The following is a 26,238-nucleotide window of genomic DNA, read 5'->3' as shown; positions in this document are numbered from 1 at the left end:
TATACAAGTATTTAAGTGTAAGCCCAGGCTGGGCATGATGGCTCATACCTGCAGTCCCAGTACTTACGGGGGCCAATGCAGGAGGATTGCTTGAGGCTAGAAGTTTGAGAACCCAGCCTGGGTGACATGGCAAGATCCCATCTCTATAAAAAAAATTTAAAAACTAGCTGGTCATGTGGTACACCTGCAGTCCTAGCTACTCAGGAGGCTGAGGTGGAAGGATTGCAGCAGTTTGAAGTTACAGTGAGCTATGATTACACCACTGCATTACAGTGTGGGTGACAGACACTCTGCTTCTAAAAAAACATTAAAAATTAAAAATAAGTAAATGTAAGCCAAATTGTACTTTCAAAAATATAATTGACCTAAAGCAATGGTCTTTTCTTAAACTTTATGAATTTTATTTAGGTGTAGGCACAAAAAAAATCTTTTTAGTATCTATGAACTATTTTATTTTATGAACATTCATTTTTCTTTAATTTTTTACCATCTTTTAATTCTCTTCCATTTATATTTCTTTCTTGATTACATAGTCATATATTAATACTGACATGTTTAATTCCATATTTTATATCATTGTTATTTAGAAATAGAGCTGATCTTTTTCATTGATGATGCTTTCAAAAGTGTTTAACGATGCTCTAGTTTATTAGTTCATTATTTGGCTATCTCAATTCTACTATTTAATTTATCAAAAGCACAACAAAAATCTTGTTGCAATTTTAGATTCAAGAAAATTCTTAGTAAAAAACTTAATAAAAGATAAATATAGGCATTATATCCTGATAAAAGTAACACTTGAGCCAGAAGATATTATGCTTATAAACATGCTCACAGCTAACAGTAGAGATTTAACATGCACAAAGCTTCATTTTTTTAGAATCTTGGAGAAAATAACAAATTTAGTGACAGAAGATAACATTATACTCGGAAAATGACACATGATGCCTACATAGACCAAGTAAGGATATACAGTGTTTAAAAGCATAACTGATGTTCACTAACTTGACAGCTATGTTCTTACAGCAAAAACATGCTGGGGTTTTTTTGTATAAATAAGGAAAATTTATAAAAAATCAACTATAAGTGGTTGACAAAGGATAGCTTGGTAAGGTCAAGAAAACCAACATCCCATGTTTGTCTTAGTCTGGTTTGTGTTGCTACACCAGAAGACTTCAGGCTAGGTAATTTATAAAGAAGAGGCTTCTTTAGCTCACAGATCTGCAGGCTGGGAAGTACAAGAAGCATGATGTTGGTGCCAGCATCTGCTCAGCCTCTGCTAAGGGCTTTCCTGCTGCATCACAACACGGTGAAAGGCCAAAGGAGAAGTGGACAGTGCAAAAGGGAGAAACCCAAGAAGCCTCCTGACTTTATAACAACCCACTCTTGTGGAAACTATTCCATTTCCTGTAGAACTAATCCAGTTTCATAGGATAACTCACTCACTTTTTGGAGAATGGTACCAAGTTGTTCGTGAGGGATCTGCTTCTATGACTCAATCACCTCCAACTGGCCCCCACCTTTCAACACAGCCACATTAGGGATCAATCAAGTTTTAACATGAGTTTTGGTGGGGAAAGACAAACCATTTCCAAACCATGGCAATGTTCTTTAACCATAATGCAATGATAATATACATTAACAAATGGGAAGTAAAAGGAAAAATCAAAATCTAGGTAGTAACCTTAAAATATCTAGTAAATAACCCATAGTTTAAAATGAAACCATTAAGTAAAATTATAAAATACTTAGAACTAATGAAAATGAGAAATTTGCATCCTATGTTAGGCAGCTAAAAGTAAACTGAAGGAAAATGTATAGCTTATTGTGTCCACCTACATGTATTTGTTGTCCTTTTCATCAAAATTCAAAAGAAAGTGCAGAGTTATGCAAACATTCAACTTTATACATTAGAATAGAACTCCACAAATAGTCAAGTTATTTTGAAAAATTAATCTTGAGGTGAACTAACCCTACCAGATATTAAAAATATGCTGAAGATCACTACATTAAATTGAGTGTTATACTGAGATTAAGCCAAAAAATGTAAAAATAATAATACAATTACTCTTATGATTATTGAACTTTTTAAGAACACCACAAATAAAACTTGTAATTAATAATAATGATAATATTTTGAATTTCTATTAAACACTAACAGGAAACACAGCGTTTATAAATTAAAATATATAAATCAGCTGGAGCATTTAAAATTGTTCACATTGGCAGTATAGCATCCATAGCGTTAACTGCTTGACTTTGAGCTGTCTTTTGCAGAAATTTATATCACAAATTAAAGGCAATAGTCCATACAAGAAGAGCCTCTTGTTATTTAATAAAGCCCTTCAATTACAAAGAGCAAAGAGCTCAACAATGTCAAATAGCCTCATAAGCAATTGGGATATATATCTTGTAGAAGCTGAGTACTGCTTAATGGTTTCCTATTTGTCTCTGATGAATAACTTTTATAAATGAACTCCTTGATCATGCTAAGTGGTAGTTGTTTTCCTCTAAAAATATTAGATTTTTTATTATAGCCTTTTTATTTTTGACCAAGTGTGTTCTTTTTAGTCTTTGCCTTGAAAACTGTATTATATGACATTTTAAATGTTTCAGGCTATTTAGAAGACCAGACTTATACAGAGCTACAAAAGATTTAGTACCAATGGAGCTTTGTTGAATGCTAAATGGACTATTTTGAGTTTTTCTAAATAATTTTTTAACTTATTGGTGAAGAGCTAGCCCCAATGACCATGCCCCCCATCACCACAGCTATCTTTAAATCTCTTTTCACTTTTATTCTCTCAGTCGGGCACTTCATGGAATACGATTATTAATGATTAAGCACTGTCTTAAATTTTCAACATTCTTTCTTATCTGCACTGTGAATTCTCCTTTCTTTTCTTTCTCATGTTCACTTTCTTCTTTGTAACTTAGGCTTTATAGTACTAGCGTATTATAATATTCACCTTTCTAATTTTTTTCATTTTCCAAGCTTATGCTTTACAAAAATCATATGTTATAGAATAAAGCATTTATCAATTTAACCTTTCTGTAATTAAGTGCATAATTTAGGGTCCTAAAGGCTTGATTTATAAAGATTTCTTTACTGATAGAAAAAGCTCTGATTAGTTATTAATAATAGTACTTCGAGAAGTATACACATTTATTCAATTATAAAACATTGAACCCAGTCTTTTACTAATCAATATTTCACAGAAGTAAGAATATTTCTAGGCTGTGTAATGAACTACATAGTATGTCTCCAAGAATGAAAATAAAATATTGAAAGCTGTATTGTTTGAATTCAGCTGTTGAAAAATCCAGACAGCCAACGTCTACATGACAAGAGCAAGCTGTTGAAGATGTATGTGTGTGTGGAGAGTGTGGGGAACAGAACAGAAGTGGTAGAAAGGTGAATTTTTGATAAAAGACTGACCTTTCACTAATAGATCATCAACTTTTAAAGGAATAAATTTAAAAAGAAAACTGACCCACAAAAAGTTAATATGTCAGAGTTTGTGTATAGATCAGAAGCGAAATACAACTACCTTTTTAATTTCTTGCGTCTTTCCACAGGAATACTCTTAGAATTTAATACTATTATTATATAATAACTTTGTTCATCATAACAATAAGGAATACTAGATAATAAGATTTGTTTTGCTGATACATATTTCATGATTGAATATTCACTTAAAATTATTTTTATGAATTTCTGTACCTACCTTATCATCAAAAAATCTTTTGTGAATTCATTTCTGAAACATCCAATGTCAATGCAAACTGCAAATATTAACCATTTTTAAAACACCAATAACATGGACTTTGTATAACATACTATCTGTATTCCAGCACAGTTTGTGTTCATCTGAAGAGATTGATTTGGCTATTTATTAGAACAATGAGACATTCAAATGATTCTTGCATTTTAACTTCCCCAATCATGTGGAATCACGTGCCTCCCCCAGTCACATGAATAATTAATTCTAAATAAATGTTTATTATTTTTAGTTTATTAAAGTAAATTAACATCTTTCATGATTTAAAAAATTAAATTATACTAATTTATTTGAAGTTGAACCTTTTAAAATGTGCAAAAAATATAAACAGGAAAAGAAGATATAAAGCTTCCAGAAAACATAATAGATTGCATGGTATGTTTATTTCTGCTCCATCTCAAAACTTTACTGAGAACAGAGTAAAGGAATTAAAAAGTCCTAAATTTACAAGAACAAAGAAGAGAGTGCAAGATAAGACACTAGAAAAGTGATATCGGCTGGGCACGGTGGCTCACGCCTGTAATCTCAGCACTTTGGGAGGCCAAGGCGGGTGGATCACGAGGTCAGGAGTTTGAGACTAGCCTGGCCAGTATGGTGAAACCCCATCTCTACTAAAAATACAAAAATTAGCTGGCCGTGGTGGTGGCGCTGTAGCCCAGCTGCAGCCGGGTAGGGGGAGGAGAATCGCTTGAACCCGAGAGGTGGATGTTGCAGTGAGCCGAGATCCCGCCACTAGACTCCGTCTCAAAAAAAATAAAAGAAAAACAAAAGTGATATCAAGAAACTGAAAGTTAAAATGTGGATACAGAAGTGATGAAGGCCCTAATCACCTCTGAAGGCAGTCTTTTAAGTGCTACTAAATCCTAGAAAATGGTTTGAAAGTTTTTATAGGTAGTGGTTAGATGTCCAAGAAACCCTCATCTGTTCAATGCAGCCAGGCAGTTCTCCCTGTGCGTCACAACAGAAGACTAGAGGTTTACTCTCAAGAGAGCTTGAAGTAGACGGACTTGACTCTTGAGACAAAAAGCACAGCTGAAGGGGCTGGGGTTAGGTGGAATGCTGTGCTTTAAAAAAGTGGGATCAAGTGGAAATTGACCTACTACACAGTGAAACAATAGCCTGTCTTAACAAACTGACTCCGAGAATGGTGGGAGCCACATTGACAACATCGCTGGCAGAAAATCTAAAGAATCCTTTCTAGGGAAATGGACTAGCCTCAAACAAAAGATCAATGGATACCACATTTAGAAATCCCCCCCATCAAACTGGCAGGTTCCCTACTATAAAGTGCCTGAGACCACCAATCACCTGCATAAACAGAATTTTCAAACAGCATTTTAGTGCCTTGGGCTTAAGTAAAAACAGAAAAAAGGATTGACACAGATTTGAAAAGAGCCTTTGCCATTGTAAAAAAAAAAGAGACCAAAATAATATAAAAAATTTAAAATCCAGAGTAAACAGAAACTATTCAGGGAATGATAGAAAAGTAAGATCTTCAGATGTTATATATATTTATATGTAATATATATATATTTATATGATAGCATCGATTGCTATGTTTTTGTTTTAAATGAGAATATTTCCCCCCAAAATTCTTAGAAAACATTTGTCTCATAGCATTAATAAAAACTCAATAAAAGTTACAACACTTAAAATTTGAGGAAATTTCTCAGATATCGAAACAAGACAAAGATGTGGGGAAGGAATTGGAGAGAACATTTTTTTTTTTTTTAATTAGAAGACCTGTCAAGGAGGTTTCAATAAGAAGTTAGATGTTACAGTAAAGGAGAAGAGGAATTGCGGGAATGGGGAATTATCCAAGTAATTCTAAGGTTATTTCCTAGAACTGAAGATATGAACTGCCAGATTAAAATGACCAACACAATCAATGCGAGAAGAGGGAAGAACAAAAAAATCAAGAATTAGGATGTTATCAAACTACTTCATAGTATACTGCAACCAGAAGGCAGTGAGCAAAGTCTTTCAATTATGCTAGCAATCAAATGTGAAGATCGAATAAAGACTGTGAACCCAAAATATCTGCGATAGGTGTCAACCAATTTGGAAAGATTATTTTGTAAGGTTAAGGATGCACCCATGATACAACCTCAGGAGGTTCTGACAACATGAGCCCAAGGTGGTCAGGGTACAGCTTGCTTTCATACATATTAGGGAGACATTAGACATCAATCAATATGTATAAGATATACATCAGTTCAGTTCAGTCCTGTAAGGTGGGGCAACTCAAAGTGGAGCTGGGAGTGAACTCAAAGTGGGGTTGGGGGCGAGGACCGTGTTCCAGGTCATAGGTAGATAAGAGACAAAAGGACTCAAATATAGAAGTTCAGAGTCTTTCTCAGGTCATATTTAGATTGCTTTAAAAGTATCAAGGTTTTCTCTGCAACTAAAATTATTATCCTTTCCTGATTTTTAACATATTAAAGCAATATTTGTACCTTAGATGAAATGGTTTAGAATTAATTAGTGATAGGTACATAAACAATTTTAAAAAGAAAAAAAAGCCAATCAAAGAAAAATTGCATGGGATAAAAAAGCTGTAAAAGTTGTGACTCAGCTGTAAATATTTATAATCACTATAATGTGCACACCAAATATTGATTCAACCCAAAACATGATAAAATTCTTTTAGGAAGATGGAAGCAAGGGAAAAATGTAACAAAAAACAGATCAAAGACGGGAGCTATATTTTCATCTTTCATAGAAGGAAATCAGTAGAAATATTGGAATCAAATGTTACAAATGAAACTTTTAATCTTCATTTGGGCTGAGGTCCCCAAATAATATGCCCAATACTCCAAAATGTGGTTGAAAATAGGTTGCCAACACTTAGTTGAATATCTAACTGCAGTCCATAAATACAGTTGGAGAGTCAAGGAAATGAGTTGGGGGAAAAAGAGAGGCAAGGATTTGGGGAGAGGTTTAATGATAACTGTGAGTCCCATGACCTTCCCTATGTGAGGGGAGAAGTAGTGTTGCCCCTTTCCACTAGCATAGAGGAGAAAAAGCCAACCTTTGTGCAAGACAAGTCGTTCAGTCAGAAGACTGCCTACGCTCTCAGCGTTTGTCAGGATACACGATGCGTGGCTGGTTACTGCAGGACAGATGTGGCCCATAATTAGGGGTAGATATGTTAGATCCAGTCAGTTGCATCAGTTGAAAAACAATAGTCCCCAATAGAAAGGTAACTCTGAATTTCCAGGAACCGGTGGTGAGGGAATTTCGATCAGGACAGATGTCAAAAGCATCCACAAAATGATCTTACAAGAGAACAGGTCAATTTATGCCTTTCCCAGAGTGGAAGTATGCCATCTCATATTATTAATAGCCTAGAAAACTCCTCTCTCCTCTCATTTCCACCCCAAGATTTGACTTTCAAGGGTTAGCAAATGAAGGAGAAGCAGGATAGAATCCCATAGAAGTAGAAGTGGAGATCCAAGAATCCAATTCTCCTCCTTTGTGCAAAACTGTGCAAGCTGACAGCCTACCACAAATGTAGGCAGGAGGAGAAAAGCATGCATGCCTCGACATTAAATATTTTACCACTGTTTAGAATAGGCATATTAATTATTGAATGTACGGTTTATTTTTTTAACTAAAATTGACCAAACGATTATCCTAAACTTTATCTAAGATCAAGGAAAACACTAGCTCCACCAAGTAAATTTAAGAAAACTATAGGAGATGTTTTCATTCTTGCTGTCATCATATGACAGGAATTGGGCCTGTTGAAGGAAACTATTAGGTACAAAAACTGGAAAACCAAGAAATAGAAATATGAGCATATTATTTAGCTATATGGAGGTACATTCTAGAAGAAACCCTAGGGAAAAAAAAAAAAATGATTGCCTCTAGAAATAGGAATCAGGCATTGGAAGAGATGGGGACAGAGACTACTATTTTTGTTATTTTATTCAGTTGAAAATATTATTAGAATATATAATACTATATAATGATAAAGAATTTGTCATTTACCACTATTTATAAGTAGTAATTTAATAAAGATAAAAAAATTGAGAGCTAAATTTAAAAATATGGACTGTGTCTGGATCACAAGGAGCTACATGAAACTGAGTGGCTCCATCTACATTTCTAGTAAATTTCCAGGATATCGCATAGTGACTGTGACTAATGGTCTACTAGACACTAGAACTCAAATCCCAGCAAGAACATCAGAAGCCATGGGACCTTCGGCAAGTGGCCAGTTCTGTGGAATTCAGGTTTAATATTTGCAAAAAGATGGAGTGGGACTAAACAATGTCTCAAGTTTTTTCCGTTCTAACAAGTAAAGTTTTGTAATTACTCTGCCGTGGTTAGTGTTTCTAAATAGACTAGCACCTACCTTGATTCTGTCCCATTACTCTCTTTTATTTTCCATAGTGAAACTTAACATTATCTGAAATATTTTATGTGTGTATATTTATACTTAATATGTTCATTGCCTGCTTCCCCCCTTATGTAAGAGCTATGAGGGCAAGGATTAAATATCACTCATCTCATTTACCTTATTTGTCACTGGTATCTTATTTATCACTGTACTGTAAGGAAGTAGAATAATGCCTAAAACATACTAGGCATTCAATAAATATTTGTTGAATAAATACACAAATCTTCCATTTCACAACTGTATGACAATGCCACTGCATAACATCTAATCTTCTTTGCTTGAAACATTGATAATACAAGAAGACAGATTGTTTGTGACTGAAACTTTGTAAGTAATCAGACTGGAAAATGTAATGTATGCAGGTCTACATCCCATTCATTGTAGCCTTCTAACATAATGTCAATAACTTGATTGCAAAACATTTTTTCTTGACATAACTCAGTCCTGTGTACAATATTCTTACAAAAGAAAATTCAATTTTCACTATGGTTTTTGTGTTTAAGTTTCTCTTCCTTTGCATTCAGTTCCTCTGTGCCGCTGAAGAATTCTGTGAGCAACTCTGCTAAATGCTCAGAAGTTAGGCACTTCAGTTATTAGCGCTCAATTTCAATTCATAGCATTTATTAAGGAATAGGGAAGATGACTTTAATTTCATTATATTCTTTCAGCTGGGAATCAAATGAAAATGCTGTGGTTATCTTTGATGTTCTATGAAAGAACCTCATATTCCTGAGTGAATACAACTCAAAAAATCAAAAGTCTGTATCCTGGATATTTAACATTAATACTTGAATACCATTTAAACAAAATTGACCACATCAAAATGAATTAAGAATAAACCTATGTATGCCAGCCATCTACCCCTAGAGTTTTATGCAGCCATGATCAAATCATAAAGGGAAAAATCATGATTTGGAGATAAACTGCATGAATTCTCAGATCATTTCACATGACATTGGCCTTCATTATTTATCAAAGACCTGAATCATGCTCTTTGAGATGACTTTTTTCAAATGTTATATATATTTCTTGTTTGATTGAATTAAAACTACTCAAAGAAAGCTAAGAGTAAAGGACTTTTTTCTGATCAAATTATTTATACATTAAAATATTTAGACTCTTTTCCTTTCTTCCTTCCTTCCTTCTTTGAATAATATAGTCAAAAAGCCATCAGGGATCTTTCACTTCTATTCTTCATCTCTTTGTCCTGTGCCTCCCCCAGTACTATTGTTGGAGGCAGCTGAGAGCAAATTGAGGACCTTTGCAAAACAACAGCCATGCTGGGTTTTTGGCAGCAGCTCTGGGTGATCATTGAGATTGATTAACAATGTGGGTGTTGAGAAAATAAGCAAATGGAAGCCAAGTTCCTCATTGTCAGAAAAGGGAACTACAAGTATGGAAAAGATGCCAGAGTGAATTTTACGAATTTGGATTAGAACTGGAGGTATTGAAGTAAACTTGTGGCATTGGTATGAATTTAAGGTGTGAGTGAAAGAGAAGCATAGATGTAAATGTGTGTATATATATGTGTATGTACATATATGTTCACAGACACACACCACATATATATTATTTTTTTCAATTAACCCAACCAGTGGGACTAGAAGCAGTAAACTCAAGTGACAATAAGCACATCTAGCTTATAATATTTTGGTTTCTAAGACCACTCTCCACTAACAAGAACCAGGACTCCTTAAAGAAATGGCTGACGCAGAGACTGGTGCAAGAAAAATACAAATAAACATAGAACATATTGATGGGCTGGAAAATGATATTTTATCCTCACAGAATGAAGGGAAATGTCAAAAAATGACACAGAAACCAGTCTGAAGTGGCTTTACTAGCCAGATTTGCAGCAATTTTAGCAGCAAAATAAAAAATGATATTGTCAGTGTTTTATGTAAGTATAGAGTAATGGAGTTCAAAAACCACCACTTGGCAAAAATCATAGTAACAGCAATTTCAGTCAAGGATCCTCAGTGGATGCCACAACTAGTGGGTAAAAGTTTGATTAGGAAAGTGAAACTTACATACTTTCAAAGTGTCTTCTGATAAAATGATTCATTTTATCAAAGTAATGATTCATTACAAAAGAAAAATAGTAACTTTACCTTGAGGTATCACTTTAATCAAGAAATCAGAGTTAAAAATCACCAGTAATAAAATGAGAATATTGATATTATAACAACCTATAAGATAATATAGGATAAAGTATAATAAGAACGTAGCATCTCTTAGTTATATTCCTGCCAGATGCATAGAGATAGGTAAGTAGGAAGGAAGGGAGGGAGGGAAGGAGAAAATACAATAAAACATGTATGGTTAAATGTCATCAGTCGTGGAATCTGGGTTATAGGTATTCATCCTTCATACTATCCTTGCAAGTTTTCTGTAAGTTTAAAATTGTTTCAAAATAAAAAGTGAAAATGAAAATGTATAGATGAAAATTCTCCTTTAGAAAGTGACAAAATTGTTTCTATGTGATGGAAAACCAGCGAGTGACAGCTGCTTGGTAGCACCATGTTGGTGAGCACAATAGCACCTTGGTCATCATTTTCATGCATTTCTAGAGTAAGTTGTTAAGTTTACTTGAGCTTTACTACAAATGGGACCTTGAGTGAAATTATGGCCAAATAGAGAAAATTAGTAAAATGCTTACTGTCAGCAGGCCTGCTGGGAGTGGCATCTGTGCCTGTACATTAATTCTTTTACTCACTGCTGTAATATACCCTGCCTTGATGTTGATTACAAATGTGATTGCTTTGGAGAACATTATTTTGCATTTAGGTTCTCCTCAGAAATCAGGAGTTCAAGTACCTGGGAAAGTATAGATAGATATAATCTTTATATATTCCTGCCACTATTTCAAAAATACAACTAAACAAACTCTTCACCCACCCTATCATTTCCCTCATGCTTTGTCAATAGAAAGGCTGAGTTGCTGTACAAGCCTTCCCTTTCTACATGCTAAAAATCAGTAATAAAAATATATGAATGGGTTTATAATATGTATAAATATTTACCATGTAAGCATTATATGATAACAAATATATAGAAAATTATTCTGAGACAGACTTTCACCATACATCAACTCATATTAAAAATTACTACAACATTGATTACAATAATCAAGATTAAGACATCCTCTAAAGGTCCAAAATACATTCCTGGTAAAATTATTATTGTACATCTATATATTAGAATAATAGGTAGTTACTAAAATCATGTTTTAGAAGATAAATCAGAGATATTTAAAAAGATTTTCTGTATATTACAGGAAAGAAAACCAAAAGCAAATTAGGTAAACATGGTCAGTACAGGCCCATACATATATGAACTCACATATACAACCCTGCAAGTTGTTTTCTTTGAGTGATGGAATTATGGGTCACTCCTATTTTCTCATTTATAATTTTTGCATTTTCTGAATTTTCTGTTGTGAATTTGTCTTGCTGTTAAAATCAAAGGAATATCATTTTGCAAATGAAACATATAAATTTGAATGTGTTTCCTTTCTGTTAACCCAGGTATCATTATATTTCTTAGAAGCTTTTTACAGGCTGAAGGGAAATTGAGGTTGTATTTACTCCCAGAGGTAAAATCAACTCATTTTAGTTTCTATATTTGTATCAGGTTGACTTGAATGCCAAAAGAGATTAATGGATGGTTCTTTATCTATGGTTTTCCAGAACTGCCTCATTTTAGAAGCAAAGAGCAGTGTGAAGCATCCTTCCATTTTCTGCCCCTGCTCCATCAAAAACAGGTGGCTTTCTTAAAAATGTTCTGATTATGCCTTTCTTCACAAATATTCTCTATCAAAAACATTTGACTGACAATTAACTGCTTCTGATCATTTACCAATTTCTGTATGACCTTAGATTCAAAATAAATATCTTTGATTAAAATGACTCCAGTCCAGAAATCTCTTATTTAAATACCTGAATCAATGGGGAACACAGTGGTGTGTAGGATTTCAGATTATTATTTCACCATCCAAAAATCTGTCTTATATATGGAACAACACATCTAAATATTTAAAACATATTTGTTACTTGAAGTTTTATGATAATTAAATAAATTGAAATTTGGACAAGAATAAGAGAAGAAAATGAAATTGCACTGACCCCATTATATAAATTATAATCATGGTGTCATGAACCTTTCATTTATCTAACAAGAACTTATTAAATAGCTATTTTGTGCATAGTATTATAGTTCTCCACAAGGGAGAACAATGAAATATTTGAGGAGAACGATTTTTTTTATTTTTGCTGGTTAAATTTAGGGTGAAAGCCAAAATAGTGAAATAATTGCTTATAAATCAAAACAAAATAAGTCTTTCTTTACAAGGAAAGATAAACATTAAGTAGCACAAGATTATATTTAATTTAGCATACGCAATGCTAATCATTGTTTAGGGGTAAGCCTCATTCCTCCAGAGCCAAAAAGACCTGTAGATTATTTACTAAGTTAATCACGATGGTAACTGATAAAATGAGAAGAAAAACTATTATTTGTACTTGTTACATTGTTAGTGGTTTATGCACTCGCTCCAAATGTAATCACAGTTCCATAGCCTCCTAAATCCTAGAAGCAAGCTGTGGTCTACAATTCAAATAGATGAAGTTAATGAGTTGTGTCTTGAACCAATGAATAGAAAAAGAAAGAATTATTAGCATGTCACCATGATTGACCTGTTACTATTAGTGGAGAGGCTGAATTAACTCTAGGGTGACCTTGGCGATGTATCTACTTCCTTCCTAGAACATAATATAATGATTACCATGTCATTACCGTAATGCTGCTTTGTCATTATACAGAGACTATGGGGCATTTTTCAGTCATCAATAGAAGATGGGGTTAAAATGGGAGGGAAAAGATTCTCCTCAGAAATTTTCAAGGATAATTTTTTCCCATCAAGGAAAGCAAGTAGTTTGTAAGAAATCTGTTAATAATGCAAGAGGTTGCATAGCTCCATCTAGTGGTCAGGAACTAATTTACTGCATGAATCACCTAGTTAAGCACCTCTGTTTTTAAGACACACAGGATTTCAGCAATCATAGTTATCATCGTGTTCCTAGCTAGTACAATACAAGATAAACTTGTCATGTTAAGTAACGGTTAAATATTAGGCAAGTATGTGTCCATTTGGTAAATATTAAAATAATAGAAACATTCATTTCCAGAACTAAATTCATTTAGGAGTTATTTTGTTGACTTTATTTTAGACCTGACTTTTTGTTGCATAATTATTTCTATTAATACCATAAATTCAAATGGCATTTGGTAAAAATTTTGATAACAGAATCACATACACAGTTCTTCTTGATATTTCAGATATTAGTATTACCTCAGTCTTAAAAGTGGAATAAAATTTCAAAGGATGCTTATAACAAATTCTGGGTCTTGATCAAATTGGAATATTCATGATTATAATCCTTCTGTCAATTTTTTTCCTAAAAATAAGAATTTTGGGACCAAAATAAAATAGACCGAACATATTGGCAAGCATGATCCACTCATCCCCATCCTCATCACATATTCAAAAATTCAAGGATTCCAATTTTTAAGTTACTCATGTATCAATATTCTATAATGAAGATATTCTTTGAAAACTTGTTAATAGTCAGAAAATATTTTTAAGACATGCTATTGTTTTACTAAAAGAAAAAATATGAGTGAGTACAGAAAGTTACCGTAAGTTTTTATTTAGGCAGTAATGTGAGCTAAAGCATCTAGAGACCAGAAAGTAATCAGCCAAGAAGCACTGCATGTCCTTCAAGGGGTTATCAGGTATGGTGTCACTGATACAGTATCATGCAGTGTAGAAAGCAGAAGTAGTGTGCAACATACTAACCAGCTGCGAGGCTTCAACTGCTCAGAGATGCTACATCTGGCCTCTTAAGCAGTTTCACAGGCATCATCAATAAACCATAATCAGCATGTAATGGTTTGACAAGATCACCAACAAGAAGGACCTGGAAGCCAGCCAGTCCATCAGCACTGACAGGAGTTCACTGCGATTTAGTCCTCCTGAGCTGGACATGTTTAGAAAATGGATGACAATGAGAAGTACAAAGAGCAACTGTCAGGCAGACAGAAGTAAAGACCAACAGGAAAGGAAGTAAATGTGCCCTAATGCTTAATTGAACCCCTTAAACAAGGCTGAAGCACCCAGCCAGATTGTAGGTATGCAAAAATTCAATCAATAATTGTTTCTAGCCCATGCAAAGCAGATATACATTTCAATACGCAAAAGAGTCTTATGATGCACACTTCAAATCATAATCATTTGCCAAATCTAAGAATACAACAAAAAAATGACAGCTAAAATATTCATGGGTTAGTCTATTTAGAATTCAAGGAAAGAAAGTAACCCCTAACATTCACTAGTGGTAATCGTTATTAATTTTGATTCTATGCATCTTCCAAGAATATTCCCATGAGTTTTAATCAACTATGGTTTGAGACTTTTGAATCTCTTGTTAGCAAGAAACAAATGTGAATTTATGACTATCAAAAGAGACTATACCCATTATACTAAGAAGTGGAATTCCAAAGGTCAAAAGTAGAAAACATCTGGATTCTTTCAACTGCACTGTTGCTATGGGTAGTTCCATCCCTGGGTGAAACCAGGGCTCATCTCATGATTTCTAGTCTCTCTTCCACAGTAAAAATTCCTTTGATCATTTTCAGTCACAAGAAGGTCATAATGCTCTAATCAAAATATCCATATCTGTCAATCATAATCATAACAGAACTTTCCTCTTTCTTTAGCTTAGACCTGGGAATCACAGGGGAAGGGGAAGAGTTGTACTAAGAGAGGCACATGGCTGGCTTGACTCTCAAGGCTTAAGTGGGAACTCACTGGGGAATAAAGTTTGGAAAAGTGCTCCCTCCTCTCCCCTGCCCCAAGTGACACTGATGTAATCTCACAATACCTTTCTTCTACCTTATCTTCAGAATTATCCTTCAACCTCCTTGCCATTAGCTGAAACCTGGGCCTCTCCAGTGACAAGCCATCCTTTAATACCCTTGTCTACATTCTACTCTCAACTGCTTCCTCCAGATCACTGCTACCTCCTCCTTTTATTTAAAACTGTTTCATAATTCTCTACCACTCATTGTGGCTTTCAAATTGGTTATCTTCCAAAATTTAATTAGAATGTTGGCACATGGTTCAGATGTCCATGTAAATTACATATATAATGTCTGTTTCCCACAGTTCTTGATTTCCTTCTAATTGGCATTCACTTAATTTCTCCTCTGTACATCTATAGTTGCCATGCCAAGTTTGTCATCATTTAGAATTACTCCGCCTCTGAAATCTTACCCTATATTATCTTTCTCTCTTACTACAATGCCTATTATCCCAGTTCTTCTAGTCTCCATCTCCTACAATGTCTTGCTATTCAAGGGCCCTTAAACTTGCCTTTTTTTTCTCATTACCTACAAATTCCTGCTGTCCTCACTTTCTTTCCGCTTAGGCTAATCTTTTGCCAACACCCTTAATCCACTTGCATTTATGTCACACTCGACAAGTAAATCCCTCACCCAGAACAAATCTGCCTTTTCTGCTCCTGTAACGGAACTGTTTAAAATTGCCAAAGAAGCAGGAGGAAACTGAGAAGAAGAATGAGGAGAAAGAGATGAAGGAGATGAAGAGGGAAGTGAGGAGAAGTAGGAGGAAGAGGAGGAGGAGATGGAAGAGAGAAGGGAGAGGAGGCAGAAGGGAGGGGAAGGGAAAGAAAAAAGATGAGGAGAAGAGGAAAGAAAAAGAAAAGAAAAATCTTTCAAATTCAAAATTCGTACACATACATTTTCTCCATCATTCATCATCCTTCCTTAGTGTTCCCTCTTCCATTTTCTACAAAACTCTCTCAAATCTCTGCTATTATCCTCAAGCACCCCAATCGCCCACTCACTCAGTCACTCCCAACCAATGACCACGTCTACCATGACACAGAGAGGTTAAAAAATTCTGGTGAAATTGTGCAAAACTTAGTAATATCCATCCATAAAAAATTAGTTTTAGCCATACCCGTCCTTATATGCTTATATCCTTATATGCTTACCTCCTGTTTTATTTAATATTATAAATATACCAAAACTGTATTACTTAATTTCTATATCAGAGAACATTACAAGGAATACTTTATTTAAGTATGATAACTTACTTGAGAGAGGTGTCATTCATTTAACAAATTACTTAAGGTTGCACAGCTAAAAATCAAAGACAAATTGTAACAATTCTGGAAACTATTCCTTCAATTGCTGCAATATGATACCAGGAACATATCTCCACCCCAGTTCTCAATTCAATCTGCATCTGCCTCTTGAGGATGGAAACACCACCCTTGGTCCCCTCTTTCTTCTGTGTATGTGACTGCTTTGATCTTTTCCTCTTGGCAAAGAAACATGATCAGATTTTTCTCATTTTAAAGAAAGTCCTTAATCCCACCCGCTGTTCAATTTACTTCTTTATATCTTTCCTTTCTTTCAACCCTACTTCAGAGTCTCATTCTCTCCACTTCCATACTTACCATTAACTCATTACCACTGGTATTTATTGATGAATTCACCACAATTGTCCATACCTCATTCAATCTTTGTCTCATATGACTTCCTTTATTATCTGAGTTCCCCCTTCTCAAAACTCTCCTCCTTTTGTTTCTAAGACAATCTCCAGTTCATACCCTCATTGTTGTTGTTGTTATGGTCTGTGCTTCTCATTTTTCCTCTTGGACTCTCCTTCCTCTGTCCAAATCTTAAATATTAAAGTTGGAATCCCCACAATGCGAATCATAGCCCCCCATCTCCCTACTTTCTTTTTTATTCATGCTACTCAGTCTTCACAGGCTATATCATTAAATCCACTAAGGTGAACTAGTACCTGTATCCAGGTGACTCATAAACTTATATTCCAGCTCAGATTTTTCATCTGGTTCTAACCCATATATCTAATTCCCCATTAGACTTTTATACTTAGATATGTAAGTTACTCAAATGTGGCACATGCTAAAACATCATCTTGCCTCCCAGTATCTACCTTTTCACTTGTGTTCTATCACCTGGAGATCTTCTTGGAGGAAATAGAGAAATGGAACCAGAGATATGTTGGCAGGCAAATGAAAGCCAAAACTGTAAATGAGTATCATCATCACAAAGGCAAAAGTTTAAACTATGAAAAAGAAAAAGTGGATAGAGAGAAGGGAAACTTGAATACCTCATTAAAAAAATATCATCATGTTCTTATTGAGGCCAATATCTTTCTGGGTGAGATGGGGCAAGAAGCTTTGCAGTCAGTATAAACACTTAGAAGAGGCTCTATTCTTCAATAAAGTTACTGAATCATAAAATCAGTATTCCTTAAGAACCCTGTTTGATCTGATGAGTTCAGTGAATGTCTTTTGTGTTTATAGAAATATTCAAGAGTTTATCGTCGTTGTTTTTCTTCCTTGCTATGGTAAATTTTATATTTCTGCCCTTGCCCTTTCATAGCCTTCTGGATGCTCCATTCTGCTTATTTTCTAAATCATTCTGTGCCCACCTAACAGATTCTGTTCTTCTTTCCTTGTCCTTAATGGGTTAAAATCTAACATGCACAAACTACCTAATCTTCTAGGTTACAATATTCTGACAAAAATGGGAGAACTTGTTAATGCACAGGCAGAGGAAGCAAAGCGTAGCTAACACCATGAGGGTCACCAGAGAGCATATCAGACATAGAAAAAGCAACCAACATTTCCATTACTTTTCACATACTCGACTAGATCCTCATTTCTATGTTAGCTGCTATTTACTTGACAGCCCTTAAGAGCTCTTTGGGAGCCAGTGTGACTTCTCAAATAAATATGTATTTCAGTTTGTGTGCTTATCTATCTTGAGAACTCATTTTAATTACCCAGTAGACATTCACAATGTCTTCCCAGCTGTTACTGTCTATTATGTCCTGTAAATAAGCCTTTTGGCTCTTTTTAAAAATGCATCTTTGACCTAAAGATGATAAGGGTGCTCAAGCAGTTGTGACAATAGACAGTATAAGTCCTCCTCAGTTGGGAAATGAAATGGGTGGCTTCCCCAAAAATTATCCTGGTCTGCGACTTCCACACATGGCCACACACTGCTTAAGATTTTCATGAATTATATCCCTAAAGTACTTGAGATAAAATGCATGTAGCGTTGATGAGAATACCTCTATCAACATTGAATCCATATAGGAAAATGCTTGTTATTTAACTGATGCTTTAGGTCACTGAAAGGGAAAAAAGTATTAGAAGGAAAGAAAAATTAATCATTAAGTACTTTTGTGCTTATGTGTCATATCATGATATCATGCCCCCTTTGGCTATGGAAAGCACATTCTTACTGCATAAAACAAATGTTATTCCCCTATGATTTCAAAAATCTAACAATTCATTTGGCCCATCAAATGTGAAAAGCGTTCTATCAATATATTAATAAATGCAAGTATATAACAAATTACATTGTAATAGAGTCATTTGTATAACTAAAAAGATGACTTTCTTCTAATTTAGTTTCTTTTACCAATCTTTTTTAGACCCTCGAAAAGAAATTTGGATGTGGTTAGTTCCTTTTTTTTAAGCTTTTTTTTTCTCGACAAATCTCAAAAAGAGTTCTTTAAGAACTCTGATTATTCTCTGTTAGACTTCTTGTCCCTTCCAAGATTATATTTTTAAAACACAGAAGTCCATCTGAGAACATTTTTTTTCCACTTTGTAGCAAATAGAAATTTATCCTGCAACTCCCTACAGAAACCTGAGAGAAAATCAATGACCACTTTGACAAGAACAATGCCACTTTCTTTTGAGCGGGTCACCTAGTTCCTAGTAACCTATTCTCCCAGGACACTTTATTTGGAAAATCAGACCAATCACCCCTGAGCTTGCTTGATACTCTGTTTACACACAGTATACGAGAAGCCGTAAACTTCACAACTACTGGGAGGCTATTTCTCAGTGTACCTATTTCATAAGAGAATTATTATATTTGTCTGGTACAAAGAGCAGCAGCTGCTGTGACCATTCTCCATTTAGATTTATCTGTTAAATTGGAATCAATGAATGGAGTGAGGCATATTATTCTTTTTTGAGACAGGAGTCACTATAGGCTATTGTTTGGGAACATAGATTTTTAAAGTGAGACTAATGAAGTTTTGAATCCTGATTCCACCATTTACTGACTTTATAGCTTTGTATTCTTGGACATGGTACTTAAACCTCTGAACTTCAATCTCATCATTTGAGAAATACAAATAATACCAAAAAGGATGCTCTGTTCATTTATGTATTGATCCACCACTAAGAGTTGTATGTTCATTTACGTAGATGATGCTTTTAAAACTTTTAGCATATAGACCAGTAACTCGATAGTCCTCAGAAATAGTGAATTATTTTTGTTACTATTATTATAGTTATCTACTTTACTTAGAGAAAGAACCTATATATGTATATTTTTTAAAATCTTTAGTCCCTCTCCCTCTCCCTCTCCCTCTCCCCACGGTCTCCCTCTCTTTCCATGGTCTCCCTCTCATGCGGAACCGAAGCTGGACTGTACTGCTGCCATCTCGGCTCACTGCAACCTCCCTGCCTGATTCTCCTGCCTCAGCCTGCCGAGTGCCTGCGATTGCAGGCACGCGCCGCCACGCCTGACTGGTTTTGGTGGAGACGGGGTTTCACTGTGTTGGCCGGGCCGGTCTCCAGCCCCTAACCGCGAGTGATCCACCAGCCTCGGCTTCCCGAGGTGCCGGGATTGCAGACGGAGTCTCGTTCACTCAGTGCTCAATGGTGCCCAGGCTGGAGTGCAGTGGCGTGATCTCGGCTCGCTACAACCTACACCTCCCAGCCGCCTGCCTTGGCCTCCCAAAGTGCCGAGATTGCAGCCTCTGCCCGGCCGCCACCCCATCTGGGAAGTGAGGAGTGTCTCTGCCTGGCCGCCCATCGTCTGGGATGTGAGGAGCCCCTCTGCCTGGCTGCCCAGTCTGGAAAGTGAGGAGCATCTCCGCCCGGCCGCCATCCCATCTAGGAAGTGAGGAGCGCCTCTTCCCAGCCGCCATCACATCTAGGAAGTGAGGAGCGTCTCTGCCCTGCCACCCATCATCTGAGATGTGGGGAGCGCCTCTGCCCTGCCACCCCATCTGGGATGTGAGGAGCGCCTCTGCCCGGCTGCGACCCCGTCTGGGAGGTGAGGAGCTTCTCTGCCCGGCCGCCCTGTCTGAGAAGTGAGGAGACCCTCTGCCTGGCAACCACCCCCTCTGAGAAGTGAGGAGCCCCTCCGCCCGGCAGCTGCCCCGTTTGAGAAGTGAGGAGCCTCTCCGCCCTGCAGCCACCCCGTCCGGGAGGGAGGTGGGGGGGGTCAGCCCCCCGCCCAGCCAGCCGCCCCGTCCGGGAGGGAGGTGGGGGGGTCAGCCCCCGGCACGGCCAGCCGCCCCGTCTGGGAGGTGAGGGGCGCCTCTGCCCGGCCGCCCCTACTGGGAAGTGAGGAGCCCCTCTGCCCGGCCAGCCGCCCCGTCCGGGAGGGAGGTGGGGGGGTCAGCCCCCCGCCCGGCCAGCCGCCCCGTCCGGGAGGGAGGTGGGGGGGTCAGCCCCCCGCCCGGCCAGCCGCCCCGTCCGGGAGGGAGGTGGGGGGATCAGCCCCCCGCCCGGCCAGCCGCCCCGTCTGGGAGGTGAGGGGCACCTCTGCCCGGCCGCCCCTACTGGGAAGGGAGGAGCCCCTCTGCCCGGCCAGCCGCCCCGTCCGGGAGGGAGGTGGGGGTTCAGCCCCCCGCCCGGCCAGCCGCCCCGTCCGGGAGGGAGGTGGGGGGGTCAGCCCCCCGCCCGGCCAGCCACCCCGTCTGGGAGGTGAGGGGCGCCTCTGCCCGGCCGCCCCTACTGGGAAGTGAGGAGCCCCTCTGCCCGGCCAGCCGCCCCGTCCAGGAGGGAGGTGGGGGGGTCAGCCCCCCGCCCGGCCAGCCGCCCCGTCCGGGAGGGAGGTGGGGGGGGTCAGCCCCCCGCCCGGCCAGCTGCCCCGTCCGGGAGGGAGGTGGGGGGGTCAGCCCCCCGCCCGGCCAGCCGCCCCATCCCGGAGGTGAGGGGCGCCTCTGCCCGGCGGCCCCTACTGGGAAGTGAAGAGCCCTTCTGCCCGGCCAGCCGCCCCGTCCGGGAGGGAGGTGGGAGGGTCAGCCCCCTGCCCGGCCAGCCGCCCCGTCCGGGAGGTGAGGGGCGCCTCTGCCCAGCCGCCCCTACTGGGAAGTGAGGAGCCCCTCTGCCCGGCTACCACCCCGTCTGGGAGGTGTGCCCAACAGCTCATTGAGAACGGGCCATGATGACAATGGTGGTTTTGTGGAATAGAAAGCGGGGAAAGGTGGGGAAAAGATTGAGAAATCGGATGGTTGCCGTGTCTGTGTAGAAAGAAGTAGACATGGGAGACTTTTCATTTTGTTCTGCACTAAGAAAAATTATTCTGCCTTGGGATCCTGTTGATCTGTGACCTTACCCCCAACCCTGTGCTCTCTGAATCATGTGCTGTGTCCACTCAGGGTTAAATGGATTAAGGGCGGTGCAAGATGTGCTTTGTTAAACAGATGCTTGAAGGCAGCATGCTCGTTAAGAGTCATCACCACTCCCTAATCTCAAGTAATCAGGGACACAAACACTGCGGAAGGCCGCAGGGTCCTCTGCCTAGGAAAACCAGAGACCTTTGTTCACTTGTTTATCTGCTGACCTTCCCTCCACTATTGTCCCATGACCCTGCCAAATCCCCCTCTGTGAGAAACACCCAAGAATTATCAATAAAAAAATAAATTAAACTTTAAAAAAAAAAATCTTTAAGGATAGTGTTAAAATCTAATATATAATGACTATACTGCTATAAGTAATCTTTTAAAATTTTGAAACATAGAAATTAAAATGAATGATTTACAGCCTAAATCTATAGCTCTAAAAGATCTTTGAAGTTTTTATTGACCTTAAAAGAGAAAAAAAAAGAGAAGGCAATATTTGAGATTTGGGATAAAAGCTTAGAGTATCAAGAGAGGGTAAAGCGGAGGTCAGGATTACCTTCTTCAGGTGTATTGATGTCTGTGATTGTTCATTACAGCATCAAAGCTGCCTTCTTAAGAACCCACATCGCGTACTTAATCCTCAGCAGAAACTCCATTTCTGACAGTGGGAAAAAATTGTATACGTATTGAGTCCTCTCCCCCTGAGATTCTCTTTTTTTTCTCTCTCTCCCTCTCTCAAAGTTATTTCCAGCTGTAATACAAAACTTGTGAATTGGCTGCTTCTTAGTAAATCTATGTCATTATAGCAATAGGTAATAGGCAGGTCGTTACAAAAGAGGAAGAGGTATTACCACATGCTAGTACTGTTCTAAGTGCTTTTCATGTAATGACTCACATAATCCTCATGACAACCCTATGAGATAGATACTATTGTTACCCCTATTTTTTAAAGGAGAGAACACAGGCACAAGGAATTTAAGTAACTTGCTTGAGGTAATGGCTCATAAATGACAAACCCAGGCAGCGTGGCTCCAAGGCAGTTAAACAGGATACTACACTATCTTAGGGAGAAAGATAAAGATGACAACTAATTTAGGGTAACATTGATTTTTTAAATTTTACCTTGTAATGATAGTAAGTCCATTTAATAGATGAGATCACTGAAAACAGACAAATTAAGTGAACTATCCAAGATCTCAGAGCTTTTTAAAGATGAAGGCTGGATGAGAACCCAGGCTTTCTTTGCACCATTGCCTTTCTTGTTCTTCTGTGCCAGAGCCCAATAGACCCCAGATTGAATGGTAATAAGTCTGCCTCTCAAACTGCTTTGGTAACTACATTTTACCTGGAATGAGTAAATTTCCTTACTTTTATAAACGAATAGGATTTTGAAAGGCTAGCATTAAAACTCTACTCAAGTGTACACCTTGAAATAATAAATATAGGTATTATTGTTGCATAAGTAATAATTAAGCAAATTTATTGAATTTAGATAAAGAATATCAAGATAAAAACCAATTAGAAATGCACATTTTTAAATCACTACTTACAAAAGCCACTCACAAAAAAAATCTAATTTGCCCTAGTTTTATAGAAATACAACTGTTATAACTTTAAAATACGCTACAAGATAGAGAAATATTTCCAGGTATGTATTAAGTGTAGAACAAGCTGGTAAAATAAGCTAAACTACAGATCATTATTGGTTAATTAAATTCTGCTTCATAGATTCTGAACTGATAAAACAGTGTTACCACAACATTTTATTAGATAAAAGAAAAAGCAAAGAAAATAACTATTATTGTGTAGGATATTATGCAGGGTTTATTAAGAAACATAAATCTAGTTTCTCTGATGGGGCTCAGATGAGAGGTAGAATAAAAAAGTCAGTTCTTTGCTATACACAGCAAAACATCAACTCTAGCACAATTTAAATGTGTGTGATGATTAACAGGCATTACAAATACTGTCACCAATCACAAAGTCACGGAAGTCGGTTTCTTTGTGATTCAGATTAAAAAGCTGTACAAGGTTATATCTGTTCTTTGCATCTCTAATAGTCTATTTTCTACAGAAAACTGGTTTGTACAGTTGCAGCAATACCTATTATAGAGAACACTAAGCAAGTCCAAATATTTAAACTATATCATTTATGCCATGTTCTGTATGAGATACATTGAGAACTAATATCAGTCGCTCAGGACTTTGTTATAACATTCTTTATATATTTAGTCAACAAATGTTATTGAAAACCTAAAAGAAGCACAATGATGACTAAAACATCATGCCTCTTCTAAAGAAACACACAGCCTTATTAGGAGGCAACTTATTGTAGGTAAAAATCCCTCTTTCTCTATTTAAAATGTTATTTGGTATTCTTGCTCTAGAAACAAAAGATTCATCAGAGTTGAAGTCCTAAGTGAGGAGTACAAGGAAGCATTAGCAATAAGAATAATATTTTAACTGTTTTTGGTAGGCAAAGTAGTTCACTAAGGAAGAAAGAGCATTAAAGATAGAAGAAAGAGCTTGTACAATGACACTAAATAAAAAATGGCCTGAGAAACATCACTTGAGTCCAGGAGGCCAAGGCTGCAGTGAGCTGTGATTCTACCATTGCACTCCAGCCTGGGTAACAAAAAAAACCTGTTGAGCCTACAGTTCAGGGTCAAAGGAGAAAAAGGAGGAACTTTAAAGGGAAGAGAAAGGAATAATATTCTTTTAGAAAGTAGATCGTATAGTAAATCATATAATTGGGAACAGATAGCCTACACAATGGAAGAAAATGTTCACAAAGTATGCATCTGACAAAGTTCTAATATCCAAAATCTATAAGGAACTTAAACAAATCAACAAGCAGAAAAACAAACAACCCCATTGAAAAGTTAGGAAAGGACATGAAAAGGTACTTCTCAAAAGAAGACATACAAGTAGTCAAAAAACATGAAAAAATGCCAAGCATCATAATCATCAGAGAAATGCAAATGAAAACTGCAATGAGACACCATCTCACACCAGTCAGAATGGCTATTACTACAAAGTCAAAAAACAACAGACACTTGCTAGACTGTGGAGAGAAAGGTAATTCTTACACACTGTTGGTGGGAATGTAAATTAATTCAGCCACTGTGGAAAGCAGTTTGAAATTTCTCAAGGAACTTAAAACAGCTCCCATTTCACCCAGCAATCCCATTACTGTGTGCACACCCAAAGGAAAATAAATAGTTCTACCAAAAGGATACTTGCACTTATAAGTTCATCACAGCACTCTTCATAATAGCAAAGACCTAGGAATCAACCTAGGTACCCATCAATGATGGATTGGATAAATAAAATGTGGTACATATACACCAGGGAATACTATGCAGCCATAAAAAAGAAAGAAGTCATTTCCTTTCCAACAACATGGATGCAGCTGGAGGCCATTATCCTAAGCAGAAACAAAACAACAAATACAGGCGGTTCTAAGATGGCTGAATAAGAACAGCTCCAGTCTACAGCTCCCAGCATGAGTGACGCAGAAGACGGGTGATTTCTGCATTTCCAACTGAGGTACCGGGTTCATCTCACTGAGGCTTATCGGGCAGTGGGTACAGGACACTGGGCACAGCACACCAAGCATGAGCCAAAGCAGAGCAAGGCATCACCTCGCCCAGGAAGCACAAAGGGTCAGGGAATTCCCTTTCCTAGCCAAGCAAAGCTGTGACAGACAGCACCTGGAAAATCGGATCACTCCCACCCTAATACTGCACTTTTCCAAGGCTCTTAGCAAACACCACACCAGGAGATTATATCCCGCACCTGGATCGGAGGGTCCCATGCCCACAGAGCCTCGCTCATTGCTAGCAAGGAGTCTGAGATTGAACTGCAAGGAGGCAACAAGGCTGGGGGAGGGGTGCCCGCCATTGCTGAGGCTTCAGTAGGTAAACAAAGCGGCCCGGAAGCTCAAACTGGGTGGAGCCCACTGCCGCTCAAGGAGGCCTGCCTGCCTCTATAGACTCCACCTCTGGGGGCAGGGCATAGCCAAACAAAAGGCAGCAGAAACCTCTGCAAACTTAAATGTCCCTGTTGGACAGCTGTGAAGAGAGTAGCGGTTCTCCCAGCACAGAGCTTGAGATCTGAGAATGGACAGACTGCCTCCTCAAGTGGGTCCCCAACCCCCGAGTAGCCTAACAGGGAGGCACCCCCCAGTAGGGGCAGACTGACACCTCACACGGCCAGGTACCCCTCTGAGATGAAACTTCCAGAGGAACGATCAGGTAGCAACATTTGCTGTTCAGCAATATTTACTGTTCTGTAGCCTCCGCTGCTAATACCCAGGCAAACAGGCTCCAGAGTGGACCTCCAGCAAACTCCAACAGACTACAGCTGAGGGTCCTGACTGTTAGAAGGAAAACTAACCAACAGAAAGGATATCCACACCAAAACCCCATCTGTATGTCACCATCATCAGAGACCAAAGGTAGATAAAGCCACAAAGATGGGGAAAAAACAGAGCAGAAAAACTGAAAATTCTAAAAATCAGAGCACCTCTCCACCTCCAAAGGAATGCA

General features: G+C 38.0%; 1 long non-coding RNA gene across 1 annotated transcript in view, besides 1 other annotated feature; it reads right to left on the bottom strand.

Annotated features, from left to right (window-relative positions):
• Positions 1 to 26,238, bottom strand: part of LOC107986324 (uncharacterized) — a 487,144-nt gene that overhangs the window by 67,109 nt on the left and 393,797 nt on the right. The gene's annotated exons all lie outside the window — the stretch shown is intronic.
• Positions 9,066 to 9,732: an enhancer, noted in NCBI's record as "OCT4-NANOG hESC enhancer chr4:160871778-160872444 (GRCh37/hg19 assembly coordinates)". NCBI's record gives its function as "activates a minimal SCP1, AML or CMV promoter by ChIP-STARR-seq in primed H9 embryonic stem cells {active_cell/tissue: H9 hESC(primed)}" and the evidence as "EXISTENCE:reporter gene assay evidence [ECO:0000049][PMID:30033119]".

Source organism: Homo sapiens, chromosome 4, assembly GCF_000001405.40.
Source record: "Homo sapiens chromosome 4, GRCh38.p14 Primary Assembly".
NCBI classification, from domain to species: domain Eukaryota; kingdom Metazoa; phylum Chordata; class Mammalia; order Primates; family Hominidae; genus Homo; species Homo sapiens.
This window is presented reverse-complemented; position numbering and strand designations above follow the sequence as displayed.